This window comes from Homo sapiens, chromosome 18 (genome assembly GCF_000001405.40).
Source record: "Homo sapiens chromosome 18, GRCh38.p14 Primary Assembly".
NCBI lineage: Eukaryota > Metazoa > Chordata > Mammalia > Primates > Hominidae > Homo > Homo sapiens.
The window spans coordinates 6,239,964-6,266,921 of NC_000018.10; the positions used below are offsets into that span (position 1 = coordinate 6,239,964).

The window sequence follows — 26,958 nt, forward strand, 5'->3', positions numbered from 1 at the left end:
GCAAAGTCTACAGGTGTCAGCACTTAGCCTCTGGACAAAGCCATCAAATGCCTGTAAAAATATCCGGCAACTGTCACACAGTTTATATTCATAACAAAGGCCCAGGAAACTAGCTTTCCTTTGTGCTTTTGCCTTTTGTTGTGCAGGGAGGTTTTCTTTCCCTTATCATCTTCATATTTCCCTCTTTTTTCTTAGAATAATTTGTATTAATTTTAAAATATGATGTTTACTGAACACAATAGTATCAAATAACCTTCTCTGCTTCCCATAGGCTTTTGAAGTTTCCAAATGCCACTATTTGAAAAAGTGGTGAAGATATGCTCTAATTAGCACCAAAGTATCCTGTTAATTTGATTACTCAATCTGAAAATAAGTGGCTTTTTCAATATTTAAGAAATACATGCTTAAATAAAATTATAATTTAAAATGTGTATTTATATATAATTTATATATATTTAACATATAATTTAAATTTATAATTTTAAAATGTGAGTGCTTTTTTACTATCTGTGCTTTTCTTAGTATAAAAATACTATGAACTATGATTTACAATAACATAACAATTACAAACCCACCCTTCATATATCTATAATTAGCCAATCCTGGGATTTAGGGAGTACATACAGTATCCGGGAACTGAAAGAGGGTGTTTTTCTCTACTTCTCTTTCATCAAACCCTGATTTTTATTCTCCTTCAGCACATTCTATTTTTACAGCAACTTCACGTTTTAATAGCTCCTTTTCTTGATACAAATCTAGGAAACATATTTAACGATTGTATAACACTGCTTTCAAGATCACAGAAGTGATGTCTGGAGAAATTCAGTGAGTGGCCTGCACAGTGACACCGCCTGCCAGTGGCAGAGCCGACTTCTGGAGTTGCAATTTATTCTCCTCCACTGAAGGTTCACTAGATTTCTGGGGACACGGATGGCATAAGAAGTGTGATCTACCCAGATCCGCAGAACACCCCTTCAATTAGTACAAAATGTTACTCTCATTTTCATTACACTTAAATATATCTAGGCTGGGTACATTCAAAGCCTACTTAGAGTATCTGCTGGTTTCAAAACACCAAAAGCAAGATTAAAGGATTAACTCCCTGTAAGGGAAAACATTTTTAAAAGACACTTTCAATTTTAGTAGGCTTTAAACATAAAGTTTTTAAGTTTTCCCAACTTTTTCTCATCTAATTGAAGTATTTAATTATACTTTTAAAGGAAGAAAACCAAGATATGCCCACAAGAAACTGACGAATTAGGTGAGAAAAGTGACAGGAAGTTAACAGTTTCCATAACTTCTTAAAGGATTAAAATAAAACAGAATATATAGTGAATTTTAAGAAATTTAAGCTTGGGGGAAATTTGATTTATGCTGGGAAAGAAAATACTTACAGGACTTCTGTTTCTGAATAATTTCTTTGGAGCATTTTGCAATTTGCAGGCCTTCAAGTAATCCATCCAAACAAATTTATCTTTTCTATAACCTAAAAAAAGCACAGATTACTCAAAATACCCAAAAGATGTAATCACATGCATATTAAATATATTAGGTTGGTGCAAAAGTAAGTGCGGTTTTGGCCATTACTTTTAATGGAAAAAAAACGCAATTACTTTTGCACCAACCTCATATGGTTATTATTAGTGTCCTGCCATAAATTCAACGTCCTTAGCACCCACAAAAGATTTAAATTAAAATCTCCAAATTGTTTCACCTTTTTAAAATGTATTATGTGCAAAACTGTTGATAGTGCTTCCCCATCACGCGCATCATTCCCGATACAATTTCACATGCTCTGATACGGAGTCAGTACTCTGGTGGCCTGATGGGAGTCTCATCGCCCATTAAGGCTTTCCTGAATGGGCAAAGGGATGAGACCAGAGTTCCCGTACCTGTCCCCACTCCTGAGGAAGAGACTTTACAGAGACCATCAGAGGTCCTGAGGGTGCAGCCATCCAGGATGCCAGGCACAGAAACGCCTTCTCAATCCAATGCCCACTCCACAGCTCCAGCTTTCTGCGCCGCATCTTTACTAGTCTCCCATTAAAAACTGCTGCATCCTCCCATTCGCATGCCCTGGCGTGGCTCTCACACAGTGCTGGCCAAACAGTACAGGCTCAAAATATGGTTCTGAGCACCAGCCTTGGAACAGAAGTCAAACTCCCTGCACAGCCTTCCAGGCCTGGGAACACCACCCTCTTCGTCCCCGACCTTCCCACCTGGGCGCTTCTCTGCTGTCTCCCTGAGATGACTCATCCTCGCAAAGCGCACTCCTGCCCCGGCGCCTGCTCCTGTTCTTCCCTTGGAGGGCTTACCCAGACACCACACTGCTTCCTCTGTCATTTCACCCACGTCTCTTTGGAACATTATGTCCACAGAGAGGCCTTTCTCCCCCATGCTTTCTGAAAGAGTGTCCCTGCAGCCACCGCCATTATCCTTCTCCTCTGAAATGAAGCCCCGTGGAGATAGAGACATTGCTTTACTTGCTACTGGCCCTCAGTGCCTCACGTGGTAAGGGCTCCATAAATACCTACTGAATGAATGAGCCTGTAGCCTGTCACCAGCTTCCTCCAAACCAGCAACCTCAAGGACTCTGCCATCAGCCTCAGGGGAGGATCCCAAGGGACACCCTGAGTGGATAACTAGGAATAAAGGACTGTATACTGACTCCAGAAGTTGCCACAGACATCGAACAGTCTGACATCCAAGCCAGAGACAATGTACAGAAGTTTGCTGTGCAAAGATATGAGCCCGTCAGCATCATCCTTGACCACATCCCCACCTCACTTGCACACAGCAAATCGAAAAGGTTTTGGTCACATCTGCCTGGCCCAGACTCCTCTAGCACATAACAAAACCATGATATTTTTCATTCCCATCGAAAGAAAATAGTGATTTTTTTCATAGTTCTTTGTTTTCCGTGATTCCTAAGTCTGAAACAAATTACTTACAGTGAATCAAGTTTCCTCACCTTGCTGTATCATTGATTAGATATTTTGTTTCAACCATGATTTAAATATTAGTCTGCACTGCTTATAAGGTTTAATAAACTTTATATAAAATAAAATAAAATGCTTTCATAATATTTTATTTCTGCCTTCTGTACATTATCAGAATATTTGACCTAAATAGTCATTTATGCTTTTCTTTAAAGACATTTACTTCTAAAAATGGTACCATTATAGTCTTACTACTCTTTATGGAACACAATTTCATTTTGGAAATCAATCCACACCAGGATCTCTTCTTCGAATTTCATAAAGTATTGTTAAAATATAAGTGAAATACCAATTGATTCTCTTTCCAGTTGGTAAATGTATCCTGGCTTACCCTTAGGGATGTGCAGTTCATGTTTGGTCTTTTCACACCATCCTACTGGATGAATGTCAGGGGAACCAGCATTGGTCCAAAAATCATAGCAACTTAAATAACCATCAAAATGAAGTCTTAGACGGTAACCACAAACCTGCAAGATAGAAAGTTTACAATCATTCGTTAAGTGTCATATATTTGGAGTAGACACAAAATTCACAAAATATTCATATATTTTGTCAGTACTATCAACATATAAGAGCCAACCCTTCTATCCAAATGTTTCCATTAAAGAAGAAATTTATGGATGACCTCTGATTAAGCTCTAATGAAATTAGACCCTGTCTTACAGGTATCTAGTGCATTCTGCAAAATAGTGACCCTTTTACCCAATCTAGGAATCTGAGGGTCAGTTTATGTATTCATTAATTAACTGGTTTATTTATTAATTCAATACCTGTCAAATATTCCCTTCAGCAACCCTATCTTCTGCCCTCTGGCCTGGATTCACATTCCAAGACAGTGTAAGCTAAAGTACAAAGCACAACTAAAATAAGCATGGCCTTGTTTCAACTCTAACATATGTATCCAGCACACTCAATAAAGAGAATAATAAAATGGTCTGAGAAATACATCCTCTAGACATGTGGTACAACTTTAATAGCTATAATCAATCAGTAAAGTAAATAAATGTGACTGTTATGTTCAATGCTATCAGAAATATAAAGATCTTTTATGGATTTAATAATATATTTAGTAAGTATTACATTTTATAAGCCATTCATCAAGAGCTCTCCACTCTAAATAATTTTCATAAAGTGAATGTATTTATATAAATATATAATTCATATGCATTAATATTATTCATACACATTTCTCATTAGTTCAGCTAAAATGTGAATAAGTACATCTCTGTTAATAGGTTAAAATACCACTGGGATTCACAGATTGTTAGCAACCTCAAGTGAAAATTATTTACCAATTAAGTCAAGAATAAATGCTAGTTGATGAAGGACTTTTTAGAAAATTCATCTTCAGAGAAGGAAAAAAATTCACTAAGAAACATAGTTTCACCCATCGCTGACTAAAATAAATCCATAATGCACTGGAACTTCTTCATAATAAATATCAAACAAATTTGTTATTTTCTAGAAAATTATCTTTCTGTCACTAGGCAATTAGCCCAAGACAGTAACACCACCTCTTACCTCCGCTACAGAAAGCACACAGAATACCGATGGATGTCGGGGATCAATGCCTTCTAATCTCATTCCAATCTGAAAACCATTTTCATGCTCTGGAAAGGACTGATCCTACAAAATTTCACGACATAACATTAGCCACTGAGATTTCATCACAGTTTTATATTAAGATATTTGGTGTCACCTCTAGGTGAAGTCTAAAACAATTGAACTCATAGAAACAGAGAGTAGAATGGTGTCTACCAGAGGCTGGAAGTTGAGGGAATGGGGAGATGCTGGTCAAAGGGTATAAAGTGGCAGTTAGAAAGGAGGAATAAATGGTAAGTATTTAAGGTGATGGATGTGTGAGTATGCTTGATTCAATCATTCCACACTGTGTACATACAGCATAACATCACTGTCTACCCCAGGGTTATATATGATTATAATTTGTCAAAAACATAAATCAAATAAGAATTTTTTTTGAGATGGACTCTTGCTGGAGTGTATTGGCACGATCTTGGCTCACTGCAACCTCCACCTCCCGGGTTCAAGTGATTCTCCTGTCTCAGCCTCCCGAATAGCTAGGATTACATACTGCGCCCAGCTAATTTTTGCAGTTTTAGTAGAGACGGGGTTTCACCATCTTGGCTAGGCTGGTCTTGAACTCCTGACCTTGTGATCTACCCGCCTTGGCCTCCCAAAGTGCTGGGATTACAGGCCACCACGCCCAGCCCAAATAAGAATTTTTTGAAAGAATTCACTGTATAGTTTAGAAGCTCAGTGATGTGGCTAAAGATGGAAGACTGTTCTTATATGTAGTTAGTGCTCAAGGATGGTTTCATTATGTTAATATGCTTTGAAATAGTACCTCCATGAAGTTGTGTGTCCTATGAACTTCCCATTTATTCCTTTTGCCCATTTTTCCTTCCTGTACCCTGGATAGCATCACTTTATTATATGGATTACCTACTCTCAGTCTGTGACTTGGCTCTTCACTGTGTTTACAGTGACTTTGTTGCAGATAAACTTATAATTTTAAGGTAGTAAAATATATCAATTATTTTCTATACATTCTACATACCCAGCCTATGAAATCCTTCTTAACTCTGAAGCTACATAGGTATTTTCCTTTTTTTTTTTTTTTTTCTGAGACAAGGTCTCACTCTGTCACCCAGACTGCAGTGCAGTGACATGATCTCAGCTCACTGCAACCTCCGCCTCCCAGGTTCAAGCAATTCTCCTGCCTCAGCCTCCCAAGTAGCTGGGATTACAAGTGTGCACCACTACGGCCTGGCTAATTTTTGTATTTTTAGTAGTGACGGGGTTTCACCATGTAGGCCAGGCTGGTCTTGAACTCCTGACCTCAAATGATCCACCCTCCTGAGCCTCCCAAAGGGCTAGGAATATAGGTGTGAGCCACTGCACCTGTCCCTAGTATTTTTTAAGAACTGTTGAAGTTTCTTTCTTCATATTTAAATTTGTAGTACAATTGAAATTGAGTTTTCTATGGTGTCAGGTAGAGGCCTACTTTTTTCACATGGAAAACAAATCATTCAAGAAAAGCGTTTTGAATAGTCCATACTTGAATTGATTGGCAAAGTCAGCTCTGTCATATATGGTTTCTACATACTTGTAGGTCTTATTTCTGACCCCTCTCTTATGTTTCATTGACTTATTTGCCTATATCACACAGTTTTATTTGCTTATAATGAGCCTTTCTATTTAGAAAGCAATCATTTCCATATTAAGTTTTTTAAATTCAGAAACTTGTTCTCTCTCCCATTTGATCTAATCATTTTTATCTGTCAAAAGTGTTTTTCAATTTTCACATAAAACTGCCAATATACTTTGCTATATTTATTTCTAGATACCTTTGAATGTTTATAGCTATTTTTACTGTAATATTTTCACAGCAGACTTCCTAATTTGCTCCAATTCATCATTATTTTCTTTAAGCACACAGTTTTGAACAGATTCACCATTACTAGTCACTTTATTGTTAATTGCAAATAATCATATACTAATGGAAAATGATGAGTAGAACCTAGATCTATTAGATCTAGAGCTGCATTTAATCACTAATTGTATTATTATTTAATATTGCTTAACATCTGAATGCCTATTTTGGGGTTAAAATTTATTCTTTTCAAAAATTATTCCAGGGGCTGGGCACGTGGCTCATGCCTGTAATCCCAGCACTTTGGGAGGCCAAGGCAGGTGGATCGTCTGAGGTCAGGAGTTCGAGACCAGCCTGGCCAACATGGCGAAACCCCATCTCTACTAAAAATACAAGAATTAGCCAGGTGTGATGGTGTGTGCCTGTAATCCCAGCTACTCTGGAGGCTGAGGCAGGAGAATCGCTTGAACCCAAGAGACGGAGGTTGCGGTGAGCCAAGATTGGGCCACTGCACTCCAGCCTGGATGACAGAGTGAAACTCCAACTAAAAAAAAAAAAATTATTCCACTGGGAAATTTAAAAGTTGCAACAACAAGACAGTGTAGAGAGCACATGCATAGATAGACTTTGCCTAGATTCACTCATTGCTACATTTCACCTGCTTTGCTTTACCATTTGTACTTACTCTATCTCTCATATGTCTCTGTGAGCATATACATAGATAGAGAAACATGTGGATATAAATTTTTTTCTTAACATTTTGAAGGCCCTTTACCCCAAAATAATTTTCCCTAAGAGTAGTGTATTTTCCCTAAGAATAGAACATTCTCTTGCAAAACCATAACTCAGTTATTAACTGTAAATTTAACATTTATACAATACTTTTTCTAATCTTCCATTCATATTCCAATTTTGTCCATTTATCCAACAATATGCTTTCCAACACTCACCCCCATACACCGCCTGCAAAGCAGGAGCCAGTCTAGGGTCGGATGTTACGAGTTGACGAGCCTCTTCAGTCTTCCTTAATCAGAAAATTTTCCCATACTGTGTCATTGTCTTGTATAGCACTGACATGTTTTTAAGAATGCAGACTTCCCCCTCCTCTGATTTTTTTTTTTTTTTTTTTTTTTTTTTTTTTAGATGGAGTCTCGCTGTGTCACCCAGGCTGGAGCGCAATGGTGCCATCTCAGCTCACTGCAACCTCCGGCTCCCAGGTTCAAGCGATTCTCCTGCCTCAGCATCCCGAGTAGCTGGGATTATAGGTGTAAGCCACCATGCCCGGCTAATTTTTTTTTTTTTTTTTTTGTATTTTTTCAGTAGAGCCAGGGTCTCACCATGTTGGCCAGGCTAGTCTAGAACTCCTGTCCTCTGGTGATCCACCTGCCTCGGTCTCCCAAAGTGCTGGGATTACAGGCCCTTCCTCTGATTTTTTGACTAGAACATTCCTGGTTTTGGGTCTGTCTGATGCTTCCTCAAGATTTGATTCAGGTGGTATATTTTTTTGCCAGAATACTACATGGATGTGTTGTGTCCTTCTCAGGGTATCGCATTCAGAGGCACATGATGTCCTTCTGTCCCTCACTGGTGATGGTAGTTTTGATCATTCAATCACAGTGTTGTCCAATTTCTTCACTAGTTACATACAAAATGCACATATATGTACATTAACACATAGACATGTACACATGTATACCCATACAAACATACACATATATTTTATAAATCATAAGTTCAAACAGATATGTCTAAGACTAATCCCCCCCCAAAAGGTTTGTTCTGCCCTCCTGCATCCACTTTGTGTTTCTCCTTGAGCAAAGTCGACACATTTACTCATTTAACAAATCCTACAGGGCCTCTTACAGTTTCAGAACTGTTTTACCCATACTGTCATAATAAGAAAACCTATTTTAAAAGTTCAAGATTTCTTTGCAACTTTCCCTCCCTCCTGTGTCATCCAAGAATGGAGTATATTGTTAAAAACTGTGCTCGTGAACTACTTGGGTTCCTATTTGTTCTCTCTTCAGTAAAGTTACAATATCCATTTGAAATACAATTGAGTTCAAATTTGTTCAATTTGCTTTCAGTTCTTAATGATTTTTTAAATATGTAGAATATTAACATGCTTCCAAAAGTTAAAATTAGCAAAAGTTACTCAAAAATGTATCTCTTCCTCCCATATTCTATCCACCGCATTCCCTCACACCACCTCGTGGAGGTCACCAACTTCACTGTTTTCTGGTTTATGCTTCCGAAGCTTCTTTTTGTAAAGATAAGCAGTTATATGTAGGTTTTTCTTATTTCCCCTTCTTTCTCACACAAAAGGCAGCATACTATACATGCTCTTTTGCACGTGGCTTTTTGCATTACTAATGTCTCTTGGAAACCACTCCATGTCCATTCCCAACTATTACACGTACTCTTTTTCACAGCTGCATTGTACTCCTCTGTGTATAGGTACCCCAGCTCATTCAACCTTCTTCTATACTTGGATGCAAGCCTTTTTTATATAAGCATGGAATAATTGTAAAACCTATGAATTGGCTTGTAAAATATCGTTAAATTTTTCTTACATTCTGAGGTCATTTTAGAAGCTTCTAAGGAAAAACTTAAAAGATGACAAACCCCAAAATGAAATGGCAAGAATGAATGATTTCTCAGGAATATTTTATTTCTATAAAAATAAATGTCATGTGTGTGTTTAACTCTCCCAGCCTTCTTCTCACATCTACTATGTTTTCCAGCAGATTGTATTTAACAAGTTTTGTGTGACTACCTCCTGTTCACTGCTTTGAAATTTCTCGGTTAACTTCAAAAGTGCCATACACATATACAAATACACATGCACACAACGCTGACAAAATGCAATGAAAAAGGTAGACCACAGGGAGAGAATGTTACTAATGCTGAGAGGAAACTTAAGAAGCCATAGAAACTGAAAGAACATTGTTCATGTTTTAACAAAACTGAAACACTGCAAAATTAGGGGTGGGGAGGAAACAGTGTTATGTTGAGCAAACTATACTGTCTTATCACACGTGATTGATAAATTTGAGACATTGACAATACTTCCCAGCCAGAAGTTAAGATGATCAATGTTACTCTTGTCAGCCTTTCAAATTGGTTTCCCAATGGAACATTTGGGAGCTTTCCATAATGTTGCAAGTAACATTACATAGCTAAAACAGACTCAGCATTTCTTGGAGGGTTTCAAAATAAAAAATAAAACGTTCATTTTAACAATCTGAAAGGCAACATTTAGTGAGAAATATCACTGCCTTTCATCAGTCTCTCTTCTCTGTTAAATGGTTTATTCATGAACTGACAGGTTTTAAAAATTTTTTCCTTTTTAAAAATCTTATGTTTCATTAATATAATTGATACTGTGCTTATAAGATTATATTTTATGGTAAGAAAAGATAACTAGAGTTACATACTTAAAGCAAACAATAGGCCCATTAAATTCAGTCATAAAAAATTATAAGGTTCAGAGACCTGGAAAAAATTACAGATCGACTCGAGCCCAGAAGGGTGAATAAACTTTCTCTAGGTCACACAGCTAGTTTAGTAGCCTAGTACAACTAAGGGCCTGTGTCTTGTGAAAACCTGCCAGCTGTGTGTTCCACATAAAGGGACAGAAGTGGCAACTAAACAGGCAAAACGAAACCTGGCTAGAGGCCATGGAAGGCCCCAAGGACATTTCCAAAGAAGCGCCAGTGCTCTTGAGTACAAAAGTTAAGGTGTTTTGCTTTGTCATTTTCTTTTCCCAAAAAGCCACAAAATAACATTTTCTCATATGAAATTGATTTTGTCACTAATAAAGGAAAAGAAACATTATTCAAAGTTCCACACCTCTTGACAAAAGCAGGTACAAATTATATACTATTATTTAAAATGCTTGTAAAATGGGCCATAACATGAGGAAAAAACAAAACAAACACACAAACAAAACACCGTCACCATGCCTAGAGAAACTGAAGACAAGCTACTGGTGAAATTCCTAAAAGCAATAATTATTATATGTGTGTGCCATCCACTCCACATTATGAGATCGAATAGATGATGCTTTGTCATGATTATTTTGTGAACCACAGTAGAATGGGGAAGGTCTGTGGCCATCAGTGCTGGCAGAGCATCAGCTAGGGGTGTATCACGGAAGAGCGCTCAAGTGATATAGCTGCAAGATTCCAACTGAATGCCCCTCAATAGTCTATGTTATTCAAAGGCACGGGTAGGCAGTCAAAAATATTTTCCTCATTTTAATTCAGCATTGAGAGAGGTGGGGGAAATTGGGCCTGCAATCAAATCCTGGCCACCGAGGCACACATTTTAACATGTTATACAAAGAACTGGGCAAGGACCTCAGGCCACTGATTTCTAAACCTTCACACGATAGCTCTCAAAGGGAAAGATGTTCACAGGAGGAATTTTATATGCAGATGACAAAAACAAAATTTCTTACTACACAAAGGCCTTTGCCATGAATTCAGCAGCCTGCTCAAATGGTTTATCTCAGCAACATCTTCCACATATAAAATTGTTCCAATGTGTCCCTTGGGGGACAAAATGTCACTATTTTAAATGTAAAGGGTGAAATATGAGGAAGTCTTACATAGGCGAACTGTGATATAAACAGCTTGACCACAGAGAATTTAACTCTTTGACAAAATTTGATGACTTTCTTCACTCAATGGAAAAAAAAATCAATCATGCTATCAGTAATGTCAAAAATAATTCAAATGCTACAGAAGAGAACATGAAGAAGTATTTTCCAGGATGAATACAACCAAAGAGAAAGTTAGGAAGGCCCTTGCAGGCTTCGCTAAAATAGGGAGCATCAACTTGCAAGGTTTTGAGTGTGAGAGTCTTGTCAGCTCTGCCTTTGATGAAGCAAAAGGAAAAGATTTTATGTTTGGTCTGAATAAACAGCATGATTGAGAACTGTGCGAGAAACCGCCAAACACTTGCTGTTGTAGCCAGAAACCTAGAATGGTTAGATACAATTTTCTCAGTAAGAGAAAGGAAGAATATAAGATAGAGAAGGAATAGTTATAGAGCCTAAGCTGTCCTTTATCAAGCCATACATAGATGCCTTTTAACATTGCGCCAGATACTGTTTTAAGTACTTACAAATATTAACACATTAAATCATCATAAAAACCCTATGCAGTGTTATTATGCACATTTTACAGATGATATGCCCAAGGCCACAGTGTAAGTGTATCTGGCTTTCCTGTTTGAGTGATTGGTCTGGATGCTAGAATATTACCAAAAGTTATAAGCATCACCATCCCCCTTGCTAATTAAAGACTTCATAATTTTTAACTTTTTATTTCATAATTATAAATATAATAAATGTTTCAAATATCTAAAATTGGTGGTCTAATATGTACCACCTATGGCCATTAAGTAATCCCCAGCTGCCAAAAGTGTGAAAACAGTGCCAAGGGGAGTCTATAAAAGGCATTCCTAAATGTGGGAATTTAATATAAATAAAGGTAGCACTGCACACTGCAGAGCAAAGAAGATGGCATCAGAACACACGACTACCAATTTGGAAAGAACAATTCAGGTAGATTCCCACCACAATATCATATACAAAAATACTTTTAGATGGAGAAGTAATAGACATGACCATGGAATACAATGCGGCTGCTCAAAAAAAGCAAGACAGGCCGGGCACGGTGGCTCACGCCTGCAATCCCAGCACTTTGGGAGGCCAAGGTGGGTGGATCACCTGAGGTCAGGAGTTCAAGAAGAGCCTGGCCAACATGGCTAAACCCCGTCTCTACTAAAAATACAAAAAATTAGCCGGGTGTGGTGGTGGGCACCTGTAATCCCAGCTACTTGGGAGGCTGAGGCAGGAGAATTGCTTGAACCTGGGAGGCAGAGGTTGCAGTGAGCCAAGATTGCACCACTGCACTCCAGCCTCGGTGACAGAGCAAGACTCTGTCTCAGAAAAAAGAAAAAAGCAAGACACATCACTGCATCTGCCGAGGCAGAATGACAGCCATAATCAATATCAAGCAAGTGTTAGATAAGCATATGGTGTGTTTTCATTTTTTATCAAAAAAAACACAGCTATTTACATAAACATGATTTACATATCTACATAGCTACATATATACAGATCTGGAAAGATTTACATCAAATTATTTTGAGTGGTTCATCTAGAGAGGAGAACAGACAGAGAGAGACCCTTTTATTTTTATACCCTTCTGTCTTGTTAAAAATGTTAAATGACATAGTAATTCTTAAAAAATCAACACATACACATAATCAAGTGATGGTGATACTAAATGAGCAGGCAGGACGCAGGCCATGATAAGACTCATATGTCCTGCTAAGAAAATTTTATTTCATTCTTAATTGATAAAGCACCAGCAAAAGATGCAAAAAATATTCTTGCATCTTATTAGCAGCGGTGTGGGAAACTGATTAGAAAGGTGGCAAGACTAGAAGTAGAAGACGTTAAAAAGGCTTTAAGTATCTGTCAATTATTAAGAATCTGCCATATGCCATGTACAGTGTCTAAGTCAACTACTTAAGCCTTAAAACCCCCTGGGGCCGGGTGCGGTGGCTCACGCCTGTAATCCCAGCACTTTGGGAGGCCGAGGCGAGCAGATCATGAGGTCAAGAGATCAAGACCATCCTGGCCAACGTGGTGAAACCCCGTCTCTACTAAAAATACAAAAATTAGCTGGGTGTGGAGGTGTGCACCTGTGGTCCCAGCTACTCGGGAGGCTGAGGCAGAAGAATCGCTTGAGCCTGGGAGGTGGAGGTTGCAATGAGCCAAGATCACACCACTGCACTCCAGCCTGGCAACAGAGCAAGACTCCGTCTCAAAACAAACAAACAAACAAACAAAAAACCCTATATTGGAACTATGACAATCCCCATTTCACACATGAAGAACTAAGGCTCACAGTTGTTCACAAATTGCTCTGTTTGCACACTGGTCAATACAAAACCTGGAATTCAAATTCAGGCCTTGGCCTGTGCACTTAACTCCCAAGTTCTATTACATTTAGAAAGTTGCAACAGCCTTGACAACTGATAATGAGGACCTCAGCCAGTGCAAGTAGGACTGGGAATGGGGGAAGTGGCCAGATTCAGTACATACTTAGGGGGTAAAATGGGCAGTGCCTGATGCCTGGCTGGAGGCAGAGGACAAGGGAGGCAGAGGATTTTAAGGTGGTGCCCACATTTCAGGCTTGAAATAAATTGTCAAATTTTCCATAATGCTAATTTTCACCTTGATAATGGGAATGATATCTACCAACACTTTCAAAGACTTCATGGGAAGCTCATGGACAACCACAGGCTGCATCCTTCCAACCTTCTGTTGCATTATTACAGCTCCAATGTTCTTCCAGGAATCTTGCAATAAATCTTTTCATCATAAAAGTCTATTTACTGCAAGACAATGGAAGACTATGAGAGGTTATGAAGCTCCTTCCTTGCTTTTTCCTTGAGAAACTTTATGATCTTTACCTGAGTTAACAGTGGCACTTAGCAGGAATGTTAGATTTTCTTCTGGCTTTCTCTTGTTTTAATCACAGAAAACAGAGAACTTAAAATATTATATACACTAATACACGCACACACTCACCACATGTACACATTTGCTCTTTTTCTATTCTTGTTCAGACTACACCTTAATATAGCTGTTTTTAATAGTGGAGTCAGAGTGGGGTTCATGATGTCTTCGGGCGTTCTAGAATCCTCTTGAATTTTATACAAAATTTTGGGTGCAAATGGATATAAGCATTTCCCCAAGGATATTATTATTCCCTAAGGATACCCTAATTCCCTGAGGATATTATCAATAGCTTTCATTAGATATTCAAAGAGGTCTAAGACCCAAAAACAGATTAAGAGCCACATGGCTACCCTTCAAGGGGATTTGTCATTAATCAACCCACTGACTAAATAATAATACACATTTGGAAGCCTTCAGTAAGCAGAACACAGCAGTTCACTGCAGTTGTTCATCATGGGGATACAGGCCAAGCAGCAAGGCATGCTTCAAATTCCGCTTTTTCAAAGTGACACCTTTTTTTTTTTTTTTTTTTTTTTGCCATCTATTTGTTTGGCTGATGGGGAAAATCATCACCTACATAATTAAACAGAACTTGCTACAAAGCTGCAGTTAAGATGGCAGTGAAGGATGGCTGATTGTGTATTTTTAAACTTTCATTTTAGAGACTACTTCCTTGTTATTTTGAACATTTTTCATAGATTAATTCTGAACTTAGAATCCTAAACTGCTGCCAAGATTGTAGCAAGAGGCATTCTTCAAATAGAGAAACAGAACTCAGGGCTCAACAAAAATATACTTTAATAAGTTAAGTGAATGCAGTTCTTATTGGCTTTCTGTGAATCCATTCTGCTAGAATTTCAATTGCAAAATCCTCATTTCCCCAGAAGCTACTAATAGTAAGAAATTTGGCTGCACAATAAACATTTTAATGTGCATCCTAACCACTGACTGAATTACGGTCTCAGAAACAAAAACAAAGCACGTACCGGAGCAGATAAAACACTACTAGGTCTAGGCAACCTTAGACCAGCAAAGATCATTTATGAACAAAGAAAAAGAACCCACACCATTCATAATACAGGACTGCACAGAAAGAACTTTTTAAAATAACTTCTCAAATTGTTTGATAATTCACTGGCCATCACCGAACTGATTCCACAAATCCTGAGTCTAGTGTCTAAAACAATAAACTCACATATTTTTCCCCCAATGACTAAACTCTTCCCAGAGAAAATAGACAAGGATACTTCTAATACATATTTCCTTTAACTAAACAAGAAGTCGTGTCTACCCTTGATTCCAAATGCCACCATTTTCCTCTTTAATTCCTCCTCCTTCTGAAGAGCTCTGAACTTGACATTCAGCTTCCAGCTGGAACTGCAGATAAGCAGCCTGTTACAAGTGCTTCATACCCCTACCAGGAACTAAAAAGCAGTCCTGATCTGACTGTCTGGTTCCAGACTTCAGATCTGCTCAACTATTTCCCAGCAACCCTGGTACTTTCAATCACCATTTCAGAGACACAGATTCTAAATGTAGGAAAAGCATCTGAACCACATCAGGATGTATCTTCAATTCTGCCCCAGAACTTAGACCTTTAGAAACTACGGGAAATGAGCATGAATGGGAATTCTTTCTGCCCTTCAGAGCCCCAGCAATTAATCATCTTAAATGACTTCATGTCACAAGGCCACACTCTATTTTTAAAATACAGTTCCTTCTTTCGTCTCGATATGCCTTGTGATTTAAACTCCAACCAAACATCTCAATATAATGCACACAGTATTCTTTCAAAAAATGCTTTTTTTCCCCCTGGGAGTACTGTTAAATACCAGTGAAGTTACCTTAAAACTGAAGGCAACAAAATACATATAAAAGGCAAAAAAAAAAAAAAAAGAATAGGTAGACAAGCAAACAGTTTAGGCAATTGAAAAGAGGACACAGACTCAGGCTATAATTTGGTTCCAAGCATATCAGAATGCATAAAGTATTTCACTGCATTTTATAAAAGTACTAAAAAGCCAGACATGGTCATCATTTGGCTTATGATTAATATTTAAAGTACTAAGAAGCATCTATATTAAAACAGTGATAGTATTCTCAGTGACTGTCAAGTAATTTGGAACCATGTTCACAGCACAAACACTTGGTATCTGACTAAACTCTTCTGGCTGGAAAGCTTCTGGGTATCTCAAAGTTTCACAAGGAGTTTTAACAAATAGGAATTTCCACAGAACAATCTTCCTGCACCTGCAGGGCTAAATACAAATTCAGACTATCAAAAACAAAATGCACCTATCAAAAACAAAATGCACATGTGCACGTCTTTCAGATTCTATTTAATGTATAGGCATAGATAGAAAAATTCCATTTTTAAAATATAATTCAGGCATAGGTGAAGAACTTAAATTTGGGGTAGGGTGAATTCCCTTTACTCAGATTTCAAGTAAGGAAGACAAAGAGAGAATAGGAATGTGTTCAAATAAGGCTGTCTTGTTTCTAGGACAATTAGGAGGTTAAACCAGGAAGGTGCCTCTGTTCCTCCAACAACCCCCAGCCCCTCCCAAAAATAAATGCAACCTTATCATCCTGCAGAAGGCTGGAATTTCCTTTTCAGGACATAAAGTCTTTCTTTCTGAAATCATACTAGATTATAATAATAGCTATGAAGAGGGGAAGGAGGTAGAGCAGGACAAGAAAGTGGGGGGAGGTGGGAACGCCACGATTGTGCCTTGTTTAGAGAGAAAGGGGATGAAATGAGGAACCACTTCTGTTTTCATCGTGAATAAAGTTGGTGAGTCATCAGGCAGGAGAGAGGAGGCTGGGAACAACGTGACCCACTAAGGATTCTGCTCCAAGGACAGTGGGTTTCCCGCTGGGCACCCACTCTTAAGTGCAGATCGGGAGACTAAGACAGGAACACCCGCCGTGGGCAGGCCAGGCTGGAAGGATAGAGGACTGTGGTCGAACCAAGGCAAGTTGTGGCAAGGACAAGGTCTGCCGAGGCCAGGCTGGGCTAGTGTTCTGAATAAACAGGGGGTCGGTGGTCAGAGCACACAGGGCTACCAAGAGGGGCTGAGAAAAGGCAGTGGGAAAAGCAAGGGACGAGAGAAAGAGTGATTTTGAGAACCGCTTGTATTTAAGCAAGTCATCTATATGCCAGGCACTGTAGTACGCTGGACACTTGATATACACGATGTGGAATTCTTCAGGAAAATCCCTGAGAAGTAGGTGATATTATCTGCTGTTTTCAGTTAAATCAACTAAGAGTCAGGGAGGTGCCTCCACACAGTGAGGGGAAGCAGTGGAGGGCTTACTGAGGCAGCGCAGGTAAAAGCACAGCAAACAATACGAACCTCTCCCGGGAACCAGAGGGCAGAGAGGAACTAAAACAAGAAGAAAGAAACCCAAGTCAGGCTTCCAGGAGATCACAATTTCACCGAGAGACAAAATACACCCACACGTAACCACACAGAATGGCACAGGTTAAGGCAGTTAAGGAGCTGGATGAACTGACCCAAAGGTCAGGTTGCGGAGGCTGGAGGTGGGAAAGAAGGTTGGAAAAATCCAGAAAGAGAAAATGCAGTCTAAAATTTCAAGAAGCCAGTCTGGACTAAGGAGATGAGTTAGGGAGGAAAATGCAGAACCAAGGGACATTATTTTTTCATAAAGATGGAACAGACTTAAGCATATTTGCATTCTAAAAGGAAATGTTCTTTTCTTTTTTCTTTTTCTTTTTCTTTTTCTTTTTTTTTTTTTTTTTTTAAATGGAGTTTCGCTCTTGTTGCCCAGGCTGGAGTGCAATGGCGCAATCTTGGCTCACCGCAACCTCCGCTTCCCGGGTTCAAGCGATTCTCCTGCCTCAGCCTCCGGAGCAGCTGGGATTACAGGCATGCACCACTACACCCAGCTAATTTTGTATTTTTAGTAGAGACGGGGTTTCTCCATGTTGGTCAGGCTGGTCTCTAACTCCCAACCTCAGGTGATCCACCCACCTCGGCCTCCCAAAGTGCTGGGATTAGAGGCATGAGCCACATCGCCGGGCTCTAAAAGGAAATGTTCAAAAGAGAAGAAACGTCAGCTTACAGGCAGGCCCTGAGATAACTGATGGAGTAAGATCTCTAGAAAGGCAGGAATGGAAAGGATGCAGAGCACAGGTGCAGGAGGCTGGAGAGAAGGGACACTTCTTCCAGGACCACAGGGGAAAGAGGCAGGAAGAGGTGTGCTGAGTGATGGTCTGCAGGGGGCAGTGGAAGGTCTCACCACATGCAGTAAGGGACTGAAAGCTTCAGGTGGGAGGAAAGATGCCTGCCAGCATAGACCTGCTTTCCTAGGGAGCAGGGAGAGCCCAGACTAACAACACAGAAGGACGGCCAGACAATGCCTGCACGCTGAGGCTGTGCATCTGCAGGGCCACAGCTATCTGCAAGGCCTCATGGTTCCTACTCAGCAGTGCTTGGCACCTGGGGTAGAGAAGGTAGGCAGTGAATACGCATTAGTCAGGAGCTGGGATTGCGGTGGGCATGGATGGGGAGAGGATAGCAGGGAGGCAACGGACTGAAGATCCTGGCAAGAGAATGGCTGACATGAGGGAACTGGGCTGAGCTGGCCAGGGAAAATGTGAAGCCAGGAGGGAGACAACAAAGGAACTACAAGTCTTAAAAGAAAAAGTGGTGCTGTAAGAATAAGGGACAGAAAAGTCTGGAAAGACAGTGGACAAAATCAGATGGTGAGATTAAAGTTTACCATTGCAGAGGAGGTTCAACTGTGACTTATGCCAGTGTGGTCACGAAGGCAGATGGGTTGAACTGAAAAGGGGGCACCGGTTCCTGGCATGGAGGCACCCAAGGTCTTAGGAGGTGGATGGACTGTCACATGGGCAAAGAAATGTCCCAGGGTGAGAACGGGACTGGGTGGGAGAGGGTGGAGGAGGGGAGAGAGCAGAGGGAGGTGAACAGTGTGAGCAGACACACATGCACACACACCCTATTGAGGCAGCAAGAGTGGAAATAGCAGTGTTACGACTGCATAAATCACCAAGAAGGGAGGGTTGGGCATGCAAGTAGAAATAGGGTAAGAAAGGAGTGGTTGGGAGCTGGAGTAGGCTAGGCCTGCCTGCACCCAGAGGGAGAAGTGGACGTGGCACAGGGGCACCCAGGAGGCAGAGTGCCCGGGGGGAAGCAGGTGTGCACCTGGCCACAGGGAGGAGGGAATGACGTGTTGAGCTCTTGGGAAAATTGCATAATTTGTTTTACCACAGGCAGGACTGCAAAGGCCACAGAAGAATAATTTGGGAGAGAGACAACCCATGAGAAGTCACTCAGACCAGGGTCAGAAACAGAACAGGAACAACAATGGAAAGAGGATGACACCATTGATGGGCACCTAGGTCAATTCAATGTCTTTGCTATAGTGAATAGTGCTGCAATGAACATGCAACTCCATGTGCCTTTCTTTCTCTGCAGCCTTGCAAGTATCTGTTGTTTTTTGACTTTATAATAATAAGCATTCTGGCTTGTGTGAGATGGTATCTCGTTGTGGTTTTAATTTGCATTTCTCTGATGATTAGTGATGTTGAGCATTTTTTTATGTTTGTTGGCCACTTGTATGTCTTCTTTTGAGAAGTGTCTGTTCATGTCTTTTGCCCATTTTTTATTTTTTACTTTTTCTTCTTTTTTCTTCTCCTTTCTCCTTCTCCATCTCCTTCATTCTTCTTTTGCCCATTTTTAATGGGTTAATTGGTTTTTGCTTATTGAATCTAGTTCCTTATAGATTCTGGATATATTAGATCTTTGTCATCTGCATAGTTTGTGAATATTTTCTCCCATTCTGTAGGTTGTCTCTTTACTCTGTTGATGGTTTCTTTTGCTGTGCAGAAGCCCTTTAGTTTAATTAGGTCTCAGTTGTCAAATTTTGTTTTTGCTGTAATTGCTTTTGAGGATTTAGTCATAAATTCTTTCTCAAGACCAATGCTGAGAATGGTGTCTCCTAGGTTTTCTTTTAGAACTCTTATAGTTTGAGGTCTTACATTTAAATTATTAATTCATCTTGATTTAGTTTTTGTATATGGTGAAAGGTAGGGGGTCTAGTTTTAATCTTCTGTATATGGCTAGCCAGCTATCCCAGCACCATTTATTGAATAGGGAGTCCTTTCCCCATTGCTTTTTTTCTGTCAGCTTTGTCAAAGATAAGATGGCTGTACATGTGCAGCTTTATTTCTGGGCTCTTTATTCTGTTCCATTGTTCTATGTATGTGTTTTTGTACCAGTACCATGCTGTTTGGTTTCTGTAGCCTTGCAGTATAGTCTGAAGTCAGGTAATACGATGCTTTGTTATTTTTGCTTAGGATTGCTTTCACTATTTGGGCTCTTTTTTAGTTCCTTGTGAATTTTAGAGTAAGTTTTTTTGGTTCTGTGAAAAATGACATTGGTAGTTTGATAGGAATAATGTTTAATCTATAGATTGCTTTGGGGAGTATGGCCACCTTAATGATATTGATTCTTCCCACCCATGAGCATGGAATGTTTTTCCAGTTGTTTATATGTCATCTTTGATTTCTTTTAGCCGTGTTTTGTAGTTCTCCTTGAAAAGATCTTTCACCTTCTTGGTTAAATGTATTCCTAGATATTTTTCTCTGTGTGTGCCTATTGTAATTGGGATTGTGTTCTTGATTTTCTCTCAGCTTGAACATTATTGGTGTATAGAAATGCTACTGACTTTTGTACACTGATTTTGTATCCTGAAACTTTACTGAATTCATTTATCAGTCCCAGGAGCCTTTTGGCAGAATCTTTAGGGTTTTCTAAGCATAGAATTAAGTTTTATTTTCAACATTTCGGTGTCAAAAGCTGAAGCGTTCCATCTCAGCTGGCTGACCTGAACAACATTATACTAATATTTACACAATGAAAATGAACATTAATAGTCAAAAACACAATGTCAATATAAAATTGAGTTTAGTCTGATGCTCCTTCTTGGAAAGCTGACATGAACCATCTGCCTTTTTGATTATATTAAAACCTATTTTTAACTATAGACAATGCTTATTTCATCTGAAAATACAAATTCAAGTTAGAGTAACACTGTGATCTTGAACACAAGCATCTTCTTTAGTTATTAGGGCAAATCAGACGGAATAATTGGTGAGCTTAATTCTCTCTGCATTCAGGGTCGAATGAGGTCTCATCTCACACATGGAATTCCTCATAAATTCATTACTTGTGGGCAATTAACATTCTACCTCAGATTGTTGCTGTGTTATTATGGGCATATCATATCCCAACTAGCCCACAAGATCCTAAGACACCATGTCATACGTTCTTTAGTGTTTTGGCCAGTCTTACATGGCACTTTGCACACACAGAGTCTTAAACACGTGGGCAGCTTGAGTGTTAGATTATGACTGGAGAGAAAGGCAGTCCAACATGTCAAACATGTCTGTTTTCTCACACACTAACACTTTGCTGTTACTTTCAGAGATGACAAATATTAGAGTTCAAAAGCTTGAGAAAGTCCTTAGCCAAAGAATCATCAAAGGGTGCATCACCTGCTCACCACCCGCCTCCTTCAAAGAGTCTCTCCAACTCTCTCCACCCTGCCAAGGGGGCCCACTCCTGTCTGTATGTCCCACAACGTTGTGCCCCTCCCACTTACTGCCTTCCAGCACCTCTTTTGTCATCCCTCTATAAAGTCAAGGGGGAAAGCTACATGACCCAGAGCCTATGATCACACCATTCCCAACACCATCATGAGGATTTATTTCAGGAACAGAAATCCCACGTGTGTTCTTTTGGTCTTTTTTTAGTTAACACCAGGTCATAAGGGAAAATCTGAAGGAGAAATTCTCAATCCTGCAGGTGTTCTTGCTCTGGCTGATGGGGCTTAAAGGATCTCAGAGAAGAAGCTCTAGAATAATGTTAATACCCTGACGGGCTGAGATGTGGGGCAACACAGGAGCTGGACAGGGAATCTAGCACTTGGCTGCCATCAGCCAAAACTTTCCTTGCTCTGAAAATTAGTCCACACTTCACCCTTAACACCCAAACATCTGATTTAATTCTGGCGGCAGAGTGGGGGGGTGGGGTGTAAGAGAGGACCCTTGCCCTGGGACCCTGATCTGAGGACACGGCACAGGTGTGACTCCTAAGCCACAGCAGCCATCGGGGCGCAAACCTCACCTATGTTCTTTGGCTCAACCTCAAATCCTGGACCTTGACCCCGCTACCTCTGCCCTTGGGTGTCACAGTGCCTGATAGTTCTCAGGCAGCTCCTGTTTTGGCCCACTCTGTTCTCCCCTCCCAACCTGCAGTGGCTCTGTGGCAAGGGCAGGAAGGCGCAGCGGGGAAAGGGCAAGGTGACTGTGAGCTACACTGAACTGCCCTGGTCCCAGCCAACCACCTTCAAAGATCTTTACACTCAGAAGCGAGAAGAGTTTCCCTAGAAGTCACTCAACAGCGACTGATCATCTGAGCACACTCAACACAGCAGGCACTGCCGGGATACATGTAGGAAAATCCCTTACCTTACTGAGCTTGCACCTTTTGATGGAAGAAACCCCCTAAGTCTTATCAGGTGAAAGCAATGTGGGGAAACATGGACCTGACTCCTAGACAGAAACTGTACAGTTCTTAAACCTTCTATGGTAGTCAGCCTCAAACCTGCACAAAGAATGCAGGAGGTTCTCAAGCTACACATTTCCAGGCCCAGCCCCTGAGGGTCTGATTTAGTAGGTCTCAGGAAGACCCACGCTGTGCTCTCCAAAGCTCACAAAAGTAGATGGTGCAAAGGCTGGGTTAAGAATGCTGCTCTAGATGGTCTCATTTTCCATGGTATGACCTTCATACTGTTTGTTAGTGAAGCATACCACCTAGACAACAAAAGGACATGCATCATTTCTTGAACACGAGGGGTCTGCATTTGGTTTCCCTTTCTTTTCTTCTTCGCTATACCTCTTCTTCCCTGTCCCACTGCCATATCCAGGATTACAAATGCTGGCCCTTTCACATGCTAACATGAGTTACTAGATGTAACTCAACAGATGTCATGAAAAGTAAACCAAATAAAAAGTTGTAGTTTCCTGCTGTAAAGAAATGGGCTGGGCACGGCGGCTTACGCCTGTAATCCCCGGCACTTTGGGAGGCCGAGGCAGGCGGATCATGAGGTCAGGAGATGGAGACCACCCTGGCCAACACAGCAAAACCCTGTCTCTACTAATACAAAAATTAGCTGGGCATGGTGGCACGCATCTGTAATCCCAGCTTCTCAGATGCTGAGGCAGGAGAATCGCTTGAACCAGGGAGTTGGAGGTTGCCACGAGCCAAGATCATGCCACTACACTCCAGCCTGGCGATAGAGCCAGACTCCGTCTCACAAAAAAAAAAAAAAAGAAAAAAAAAAGTAAAGTAACGAGGTAAATCTGATGCACATAAATTTCCCCAAAACATCTAAAACTCAGACCAAGAAGAACAAAAAGACTATCAGAAGATTTGGTGTCTTGGGTAAAGATGATCCCCTGTAAGGCCCAGATGGTCAAGGAAGTCTACACCAGCTGCTCTGTTCACCTTTCTAGTCATGTATGCCAGGATTCAGGGGTTTCAATGTCTTCTCTAACATCTTGCTTGACTCACCACTCTTAGAAACACATCCAAACAGATCCCTCTAACTGCAGGTAATACTGGCTAATAGAAGTAAAACCTAACACTTTCTTGAGCATTTATAGTATGCACATTGCATCCTATATCCTTTACGGGTACAACTGATTTAGTCCTCCAACCACCCAAGGAGAAAGGTAGGGAACCTTTCCTACCTCATGGATGAGGAAACTGAACTGAATGACTTGCCCAAGGTCACAGAGCTGGCAGGTGGCGGCGCCGGGCTCCAGCCCACTCTGAAACACTAAAGCTCTGATTAGGTTTGTGGGGTCATTTTCCAGCAGAGCCTACAAATAATTCAAATAAGTTGATGGGCTATCTAGGAAAGTCATTTCATTTAAACTAAACCTCTTAAGTGTTGCTTCCTTGCAAAAATATAAGTCCTTCAGTGGCTGACCTTGGAAAACAGCTCAACAGGTGCTGCGACAGCCTTCTGTTCTTTCAAGTACCACTCCCAAGACCATGCTCCCTGTGCAGCCGCTGAAGGGACTGGAAGAGAAAACACAATGACTTTTCTCAAAATGATTAGTGACAGGAAAATAATAAAACTTACTTGACAATAAACTCAAGAAGCAGGCTAATTAGTTAAATTGGTAGTTGAAAGACCCAGCAACTAAGAAGAGTCTTCTCTCTCAATTCATATGAACATTTAGTAAAATCACCTAACCACTCCATATTCAGCTCTTCCTGTTTCGGACCAGGCTAATGAATATGTCTCACCCTCTAGAAAATGCCTAGTGAACTCTCAAGTTAGGTACCATCTTGCTCCTCTCTAAGAGGGTGAACAGGCACAGGCTTTCTGGAAAGTGATTTAGCTAATTTTACAGTTAATAGTCTAAAGTTTTTTATAATCTCCTTCCACTTTCATACTTCTTTTTGCTGTGAATGTCAATTGGCACAACCTGTGGAAAGCTAATGTGGCAGTATTTGTCAAAGCTTAAAAATCGTTCCTGGCCTGGCGTGGTGACTCACGCCTGTAATCCCAGCACTTCGGGAGGCCAAGGCAGGTGGATCACCTGAGGTCAAGAGTTTGAGACCCGCCTGGCCAATATGGTGAAACCCCGTCTCTACTAAAAATACAAAAATTAGCTGGGCATCGTGGCGGGTGCCTGTAATCCCAGCTACTTGGAAAGCTGAAGCAGGAGAATTGCTTGAACCCAGGAGGTGGAGGTTGCAGTGAGCCGAGATCGCACTACTGCACTCCAGCCTGGGCCACAAGAGCGAAATCTCATCTTGGGGAAAAAAAAATCGTTCCTAAAAGTCGAACCAGCAATTCTCCTAGGAATTTGTCTTAATGCAATCGCAGTAGACACGCCCAAGGGGCAAAACACAAGAGTTTTTTTCCTAGAATCCCACATCAAATTAAACACTGGAAACAAAGTAAAGGTCCACAAAGGAGGAGGTAATTAAACGCGTTACATGGACATGCCCTTTCAAAACCAGCCAGTAAATTGCTTTGTAGACAACTGTCTAAAGGCAGAGAAGGACTATGTAATGATATACTACTAAGTAGGAAAAAGAAGCAGTTAAGGAAACAAATTGATCATTTTTGGTAAATGTGTAATAGATTAAATGATCATTTTTGGTAAATGTGTAATAGATTAAATAAGACTAAACTTACATAAATCAAAAACATTCAAATGAAATCATCTTAAGTGCCAGAATTATAAATAATTCCTTCCCAATTTTCTTTGTGCTTTCTTTTTCTGCTTTCCAAATTTTCTAGATGAATAGCTAATCTTTGTAATTCAACAAAATTATCATTTTTGAATAACAAAAGCTGGCAAAAAGGATTAATAGTTATCTCAGGTTTACATTCTACTCCCCAGTACTTCTTCTCTAGGATTACATACTAAGAGAGTAGTTAAGCACTGATAAAAGTTGATGGTAAAAATGTACATCACAAAATAACAGCAAAATGCAAAGTAGTATTAATATGGGAAGGAGGTTAAAGAAACTATTGTATATACATACATATATGATTCTGAGGTTATCGAAAACTATATTTTTATGCTTTATGTATTTAATATATTTTGAGAATTATCTGGGTTAAGTAAAAAAACTAAGTAAAGACACAAAACGGTGTCTATTTAGATCATATCTGCTGTTTTGTGTCCTTACTTATGCTAAGTGAAATAAGTTAGGCACAGTGAAATAAGTTAGGCACAGAAAAATAAATACTGCATGATCTTATAGACATGCAATAAAAAAAAGTCAAACTCATTGAAGCAGTGCTTAGAAAGGTGGTTACCAGAGGCTGGATGACAAAGGAATCGGGAATGGGGAGATGTTGCCCAAAGGATACAACGTTCCAGTTAGACAGCAGGCATAAGCTTTAGAGATATGTTCCACAGCATGCTGACTATAGTGAATAATGTTATATACCTCAAAACTGCTAAAAAGAATAGATTTTAAATATTCTCATGACAAAAAACATAAGTATGTGAGGTGACGGATATGTTAATTCACTTGATATAATCATTCCACAAGCATATTTCAAAAATTACATTTTACCCCATAAATATATACAATTATTTCTCATTTAAAAATAAAAAAACATACATACATATATATTATACAAGTTATTCCATATATTAAGACATTCATTTATTCACATATTTATACAGCAACTTCTATGTGCTAAGCAACAGGCATATGTATGTCCACACAACCAAACACATTCACGTAGAAAAGCAATTGGAAAGAAACAGCAGAATACTAACAGTGGCTACATGTGGATGGCAAGATTGACATAAATATTCTTTCTTTATTTAACACAATCTATATTTTAAAAATTATCTGCAAGTATTACTACTTAGCTATACACACACACATCCTTGGAGAATACTCATCAGAAAACGCTGAGTCCTAATTTTAGCATCTATCTTTGCTGTGAATGTTCCAGAAGAAGATGCAGATGGTAAAAGGTCAGTGCTGCATCAGCACCAGAGATGACAGGAGGTAAGATGCACCTCTCACTAGAACATTTGAAACCTCTCGAGACAATACAACAATGTGACTGAATAACAAACACAAAATCCATCAATTGGGCAGGAATAATTCACGTAAACTTTTTGTCGTTAAAAAATTTCTGGCCAGGTGCAGTGGCTTACACCTGTAATCCCAGCACTTGGGAAGCTGAGGCAGGTGAATCACCGGAGATCAGGAGTTCGAGACCAGCCTGGTCAACATGGTGAAACCCCATCTCTCCTAAAAATACAAAATTAGCCAGGTATAATGGTGCATGCCTATAATCCCAGCTACTTGGGAGGCTGAGGCAGGAGAATTGCTTGAACCTGGGAGGCAGAGGTTGCAGTGAGTGAAGATCGTGCCATTGCACTCCAGCCTGGGCGACAGAGTGAAACTCCGTCT

The 26,958-nt window shown here is 40.0% G+C and overlaps 1 protein-coding gene and 1 long non-coding RNA gene across 31 annotated transcripts in view; one reads left to right on the forward strand and one right to left on the reverse strand.

Annotated features, from left to right (window-relative positions):
- The window catches only part of L3MBTL4 (L3MBTL histone methyl-lysine binding protein 4), a 460,543-nt gene that overhangs the window by 285,247 nt on the left and 148,338 nt on the right, over positions 1-26,958 (reverse strand). For 28 of the 30 annotated variants that reach the window (NR_158609.2, XR_007066253.1, XR_935072.2 and 25 more), the window contains exons 5-8: positions 23,984-24,075; positions 4,521-4,625; positions 3,331-3,466; positions 1,395-1,486 (exon numbers count right to left, since the gene is read on the reverse strand). Coding sequence is in view for 24 of the 30 variants with exons in the window: in NM_001365765.2 (NP_001352694.1) it covers positions 1,395-1,486; positions 3,331-3,466; positions 4,521-4,625; positions 23,984-24,075 (425 nt within the window). In the remaining 6 variants the exon portion in view is untranslated. The remainder of the gene's footprint in view (positions 1-1,394; positions 1,487-3,330; positions 3,467-4,520; positions 4,626-23,983; positions 24,076-26,958) is intronic. The other 2 variants (NR_158610.2, NR_158611.2) reach the window with 1 other exon arrangement.
- Positions 16,781-20,971, forward strand: L3MBTL4-AS1 (L3MBTL4 antisense RNA 1). Its single transcript, NR_110765.1, has 3 exons — positions 16,781-16,910; positions 18,691-18,833; positions 19,197-20,971. It is a non-coding gene; the product is annotated as a L3MBTL4 antisense RNA 1 (long non-coding RNA).